The sequence below is a fragment of the Homo sapiens genome, chromosome 4 (genome assembly GCF_000001405.40).
Source record: "Homo sapiens chromosome 4, GRCh38.p14 Primary Assembly".
NCBI classification, from domain to species: domain Eukaryota; kingdom Metazoa; phylum Chordata; class Mammalia; order Primates; family Hominidae; genus Homo; species Homo sapiens.
This window is the reverse complement of record NC_000004.12, coordinates 4,881,807-4,889,036: the sequence shown is the minus strand read 5'-3', so window position 1 is coordinate 4,889,036 and position 7,230 is coordinate 4,881,807. Positions and strand designations below refer to the sequence as shown.

The 7,230-nt window shown below is 43.6% G+C and overlaps 1 annotated feature.

The window, feature by feature from the left end:
• Positions 1–295: a silencer, noted in NCBI's record as "tiled region #11527; HepG2 Repressive DNase matched - State 13:Ctcf". NCBI's record gives its function as "represses a minimal TATA promoter and a strong SV40 promoter by Sharpr-MPRA in HepG2 cells {active_cell/tissue: HepG2}" and the evidence as "EXISTENCE:reporter gene assay evidence [ECO:0000049][PMID:27701403]".

The following is a 7,230-nucleotide window of genomic DNA, read 5'->3' as shown; positions in this document are numbered from 1 at the left end:
GACCCATAACCCCACCTTAAACCTGGGTGACCCTTGCTAGGATCTGTTACCCTTTGAGCCTTGGCTTTCCTACCTGTTCAGTGGCGACACCTGCTGCTAGTTGAGTGGCCCTGAGTCTGTGTCTGGTGCACGTGTCATGGGCTCAGCACAGGCTGCTGTTAGGGAGTTCCTTCCCTCCATCCTTGACAGCAAGGACCACCTCACTCCCTAGTCCCGGCACCCAGTGTCGGCCAGGCATAGAGGAGGCACAAGGAGCATTTCCTTTTGATTAAAGTTAGTTCATTTTATTCTGCCTTATTCTTTACCTTGGGGCTCTGTGGGAGGGGACCTACGTGGGATTTGGCCACATGGCCCCAGACCATGAATAGATCCATTAGGTTACATTTTCCAGTCTCAGAGATACATGCCCAAAGGAAACGAAAACCAGAGGTTGGAGTCAAGAGACCTAACTTCTAGCTTGGTTCAAATTCCAGCTTCATCACTTGCCAGCTTCATGAGTTTAGCAAGTCATTTGCTTTTTCTGGGCCTCTGTTTCTCAATCACAAGGTTGGGTCCCAAAGCACTACTCCTCCCTGACACTCCCAGAGGTCTCCCTAGTTCAAGAACAGGCCAGGAGACTCCCTCTGGGTCTGCTCTCCTCTATCCTCTATGTTGGGGGCCAATGCTGGTTTCAGAGCCGTGACTCTTCACCAGGACCGTGTAACCTGAAGCACATACAGAACCTCTTTTAAAATGCCCTGGGATGGAGACCAGGTAGCTTCTGGGATGGAAACCAGGTGGTTTCCACATACACCCTGCATTGAAAACTGCAGAGCCTGCAATAAATTAACCAAGCCTAAGCTGGAAAGAAACATCAGCCTGAGATTGCTGCCCTGGATCTTTAGAAACCAGGTCATAGTTCAGCAGGTATCCAGTTGGTCATGTGTGGGAGAATCCTGAGATGTTCTACACTCATACCTTTGTTGTGAAAACTTTTCCCAAATGCATCATTAGTTCCCTGAGGCTGCTGTGACCAATTAACCACAAGCTGGGTGTCTTTTAACATGGTAAATGTATTCTCTCACAGTTCCATCCCAGCCTTTGAGGGGAGTGACCACAAGTAAGCCACTTATGGCTAGATCCAGGAATAATAGCCCAGGAATGAGAGGTCCAGGGGCAGGAAATGAATGGGGAGCACACAGGCCTGGTGGGAAGGTCCTCATCACAGGCAGCGAGATGAGTACCACCCGTCCTCATGAGCCACCTCTCTGGTTTCCTCTCTGGAGGAATTGCCCCAAACAGGCTTTGGCTTCAGGAACACCAACACATCTGAAGGAGGTGTCCTGACACCTGGCTAATCCCAGAACATGTGGAGGAATTCTGCACTCACAATGGTGAGATATCTGGGCACCTTTCTCAACTTGGCTCCCAGAAACCTGGCAGCCAGGCTGTGCCCTTGCTGCCCTCCCCTGGGAAGAAACTGAAGGATCCCCCTCTAGGGAAACCCACTGGCATAAGGGGAAAGACCTACACAAACTGCCATTTCGGCAGCACCAGTGAAATGACGGATCGCTGCTTCATTGCCTGACTTGCCCACAAACCCAGATTATGCCCACAGAGCTCTTATTTCATGTTTTTGGGCAAATGTCACCAGTCATTTGGGAAGCATCTCTTGATATAAAAGAGGAAGATGAAAGCAGAAAGGGAGAGAGAGAGAAGGAACTCAGAGAAAAGAGAGAAAATGCAGCAAGCAGAATAAACTTATTTTTTTAAAAATCTGTAATTCCAAGCCTCGGAGAGATAAATATTGCATCTGTGAAACAAGAACAGGATGCTATAATAAAGGTGACATTCAGAGAATATGGAAGAGCTCTTAAACACTACGAATATGACAGCAGAAATGAAACCATCAAGGAAATGAATGAATGATAAAATGCAGAAAATCTTCAGAATGGAACATAGGAGAGATTTTAAAAGATTTTTTAAAATTAAAGGATTGATCTAATCAGCAAAACATCCAAACAATAGGAAGTAATAGGAATTCTGGGAAGAGAAATGATTAGCAATTAAGGGTACAGGTTGAGTATCCCTTATCTGAAATGCTTGAAACAAGGAGTGCTCTGCATTTAGGATTTGTATTAGTCCATTTTCACAGTGCTATAAAGAATACCTGAGACTGGGTAATTCATGAAGGAAAGAGGTTTGACTCACAGTTCCATATGGCTGGGGAAGCCTCAGGAAACTTACAATCACAGCAGAAGCCGAAGGAAAAGCAAGGCATGTCTTACATGGTGGCAGAAGAGGAAAGGAACAGGGGAAACTACCACTTATAAAACCATCAGATCTCGTGAGAACTCACTCGCTATCATGAGAACAGCGTGAAGGAAACAGCCCCCATGACCCCATCACCTCCCACCACATCCCTCCCTCAACATGTAGGGATTACAATTCAAGATGAGATTTGAGTGGGGACACAGAGCTAAACCATATTAGACTTTTTATCAGATTTTGGAATATTTACATACATATAATGAGATATCTTGGGGGTGGGACCCAAGTCTAAACAATAAATTCATTTATGTTTTATATAAACCTCATACACATAGCTTGCAGGTAATTTTATGCAATAATTTTAATAATCTTGGGCTGAAAACAAAGTTTGTGTACACTAAAACATCAGAAAGCAAAGGTGCAGGGAATGGGCACAGTGGCTCACCTGTGGTCCCAGCACTTTGGGAGGCCGAGGAGGGAAGATCACCTGAGGTCAAGAATTCAAGACCAGCCTGGCCAACATGGCAAAACCCTGTCTCTACTAAAAATACAAAAATTAGCCTGGTGTGGTGCACACCTATTATTCCAGCTACTCGGGAGGCTGAGGCAGAAGAATCGCTTGAACCCGGGAGGCAGAGGTTGCAGTGAGCTGAGATCGTGCCACTGCACTCCAGCCTGGGCGACAGAGCAAGATTCCATCTCAAATAAATAAATAAACAAAGAAATAAACAAAGAAAGAAAGCAACAGTGTAATTATCTCAGCCACCAATGTGGACAATCTGTGGTTGGTTGGCATCACCAACATTCCTGACTCTGAATTTATATTCTACCAATAAATAACCATTTTCTTACACTTATTCACATGAGTACTTTAACAGTAAAAAAAAAAAAAGATATGCCATTAATACAGTGAAAAATCATGTGTTCAGGGCACCCATGCGGCAGCATCACGAGAACTCCTGCATCACCGCTAACCAGCAGCAGCCAGCAAAGGCGGCGTTCGACTTCACTAGCAACGCGTTGCCTGATTAAAAGGTTACTAATAACTGGTTTTGTCTGTTTGTTTGTTTGTTTTGAGACAGTCTTGCTCTGTCACCCAGGCTGGAGTGTAATGGCGTGATCTCGGCTCGCTGCAACCTCCGACTCCCAGGTTCAAGCGATTCTCCTGCCTCAGCCTCCCTAGTAGCTGGGATAGAGATGGGGTTTCACCATGTTGGCCAGGCTGGTCTCAAACTCCTGATCTCAGGTGATCCACCCATCTTGGCCTCCCAAAGTGCTGGGATTACAGGCGTGAGCCACAGTGCCTGGCCTAGTAACTGTTTTTTGTTGTTTTTTTTGCTTTGGTTTGTTTTGGGCGAAGAAAAACATGAGAAGCAGTTGAGGAACAAGAAAGTGAGTCCTCCAGGCAGAATGAGGAGGCATTCCGCGAGATGGCTTTTTAAACATTTCCTGCAGAGTCCTCTGCCTCCTTAATAAGGTTTTTTTTCTGAGAGTCTCTCTTTGATTTTATCAAAGGACATGATTTTTTTGTTCTGTTGTGAATGTGCAGCACTCTAGCCCTTCAATAAGCCCATCCTGCATTTTCATCATGTCATGTGTAGACACTCTTTCTGCAGTGCTAACATCATCTTTATCATCACTATTATCACCATCACCTTGATTCAGAAACATTTCAGCTATTTTGCCATCAGTCAATAAATTAACAATTGGAGCCCATTCTCAATGTTAAAAACTTCTATATTCACTTTTTCCAGCTTACTGATAAAGTCTGAAGGTCTATATTTTGCACATATAAGGTCAGACATGATTTTTTTTTCTCACTTGACTTATGGAATCCTTGAAAGTCACCAGCTTGTTTATTATCATCACTGAATACAGTCACAGGCCAGAGGTTGTGCCAGGCATGCACAGCTGTGTCTTTAGTCACTGTGTTCTCAGCATTGGCAACAGTGTTTACAGCCTCCTTTGCGCTCAACTCCTCTTGAAAATCTCCCACACGCACACCACTGTTCACTGCTGCTAGCGCGCTGTTCAAGAGAGGGTTTTTATATTTACTCTTCATTGATCTAAGGATAACCTGGTCACATGACTGAATTAATGAAGTCACATTTGGGGAAAGTACATGGCATAAGCATTTTTTATGAGAATCTCAGCTGAAAGATGAGCAGAACTGTTGTCAAGGAATAACAAAACCTGGCCAGGTTTTGTGCCTCATGCCTGTAATTCCAGCACTTTGGAAGGCCAAGGCGGGAGAAGTGCTTGAGCCCAGGAGTTTGAGATCAGCCTGGGCAACATAATGAGATCTTGTCTTTACAAAAAACTTAAAAATTAGCTGTAGCCCTAGCTACTTGAGAAGCTGAGGTGGAAGGATCACTTGAGTCTAGGAGTTCAAGACTGCAGTGAGCTAGGATAACACCACTGCACTTCAGCACGGGTGACAGAGAGACACCTTGTCTCTAAAAAATTAAAATAAAATAAAATAAAAGGAATAAGAAAATCTTGCAGTCATATCTAGCTCAGCTTCCCTGAGCACAAGTCACTGGTACAAAATGTTTGTGAAATAGGCCGGGCACAGTGGCTCACACCTGTAATCTCAACATTTTGGGAGGTTGAGGCAGGAGGATTGCTTGAACCCAGGAGTTCAAGACGAGCCTGAGCAACATAATGAGACCCTGTCTCTATTTTTTTAAACTAAATTAAATCGAGTTTTTAAAAAACAAAATGTTTGTGAAATCAATCAGAATTGGTACTGCATGCATTTTTGTTAGTATAACAATTAGACTGGTAAGAAATTTACTCCATGAAAACAGTGAGGGTGCAAGTGTTTGCCCATCACAGCAAGCTCAAACTTATGCGTGCCTGCTGCATTAGCACATCCCAGCACCGTCGTTCTGCCCCTGACATCCTTCATTCCCACAGGGGCTGTCTCATCAGCTGTAGTCAGTGTCTTTCTGGGGCAAGCTCAGCAAAACAGTGATGTTTCATCAGTGTCGTAGAGTTGCTCTTGTGTCTGTAGAGTTTTATCAGTGATGAACTTGGCAAACTCATTAATGAATTTCCTCACTGCTTCTTGATCAGCAAATGTTTTATCACCACAAATCTTTAAGAATTTAATGCTGTCTTTAATTTTCTTTTATTTTCTTTCCTTTTTTTTTTTGTTTGTTTGTTTGTTTTTGTTTTTTTCCAGAAGGAGTCACGCTCTGTCTCCAGGCTGAAGTGCAGTGGCGTGATCTGGGCTCACTGCAACCTCCGCCTCTCAGGTTTAAGTGATTCTCCTGCCTCAGCCACCTGAGTAGCTAGGACGACAGGTGAGAGCCACTACGCCCAGCTAATTTTGGTATTTTTTCTTTTCTTCTTTGAGACAGGCAGGGTCTCACTCTCTCACCTGGCCTGGATTGTAGTGGTGCAATCATGGTTGACTGCAGCTTCAACCTGCTGGGCTCAAGCCTTCCTTCCACCTCAGCCTCCTAAGTAGCTAGGACTATAGGCACATACCATACCTGGCTAATTTTTAAAAAGTTTTGTATAGTAATTGGTTTTTCTGGAGTAAAATCAAAACAGAAATCTCATCCCCAAATATTCAGGATATGTATTTTTTCATTGCAGACACAGTGGGGCATTGACCGTAACTGCTTTAACAAAAATATTTAAATTATCTTGTAAGTCAGTGTTTTAAGGAGATAAAAAGAATCTGGGATGATGTGAAATAAAAATACAGTGGAAATAAAAAATCTTAGAAAAACATGTTTTGTATAGACGAGGTCTCACTATGTTGCCCAGGCTGACTCACACTCCTGAGCTCAAGCAACACTTTCTCCTCAGCTTCTCAAAGTGTTAGGATTACAGGCATGAGCCACTGAGCTCAGCTTAATGTTGTCTTTTCTTAAATTTCTGCATCCAGCCTGTTGAATATTCACAGTTTCCTTCAATTTTTTGTTCAGCTTGACTGATCCTTGCTTATTTAATGATCAGGGTACCATCATACAACACTGACGGGGTCACTCTCAGTACACAGCTGAGATCTTCATTTTTAGCTTTACGCAGTTTTTTTCTAGTTTCATTAACTTCTGTTCGTTTCTTGCGGCATAGTACTTTGACAGTTCATCCTTCTGTTTCTTCAGGTCATGTGCCATGGTCATTCCAACACTGAGCTCTTCCATCTGATGTTTTACATCTGCAGCACTGTCCGGCTTCTCCAACAGCTTGACTTTCCATGTTATAGATAAACACAAATGCTTCCTTTTTTTCTTATCACTTCTTTTTTTTTTTTTTTTTTTTAGCCCATGGGAGTATCAGCAGGCCTTTAAAATTTTAATCAATAACTTTATTTATTTATTTATTTTTATTTAATGTAATTAATTTATTTATTTTTCAGATGGAGTCTCACTCTTGTTGCCCAGGCTGGAGTGCAGTGGCACTATCTCGGCTCACTGCAACCTCCGCCTCACAGGCTCAAGCAATTCTCCTGCCTCAGCCTCCAGAGTAGCTGGGATTACTGGTGCCCGCAACCACACTCAGCTAATTTTTGTATTTTTAATAGAGATGAGATTCCACCATGTTGGCCAGGCTGGTCTCGGCCTCCTGACCTCAGGTGATCCACCCGCCTCAGCCTCCCAAAGTGCTGGGATTACAGGTGTGAGCCACCGCTCCTGGCCTTAATCAATAACTTTACACCACACAGCAGAGAATAAGAAAAAGAACCAAGTGAGTAATGCAGGTAGATCTTGGCTTCATGTGGGGCATAGTGGGGAATGTGTTACTGGTGCCTCAGCCTGTGAAAGTGCTATTTTATTCTCTGTGTGAGTGCTTGAGGGGCAGAGGGAACCTGGATGTGCGTGGAAAAGATACATCACTGCTGAAGCGGGCTGAGAAGGCCTTTTTTTCCTTTGGGGATATGAAATAAACGATGTGTTGTGCACCAGTATTTTGACTGTGACATGTCACATGAGATCAGATGTGGAATTTTCCACTTGTGACATC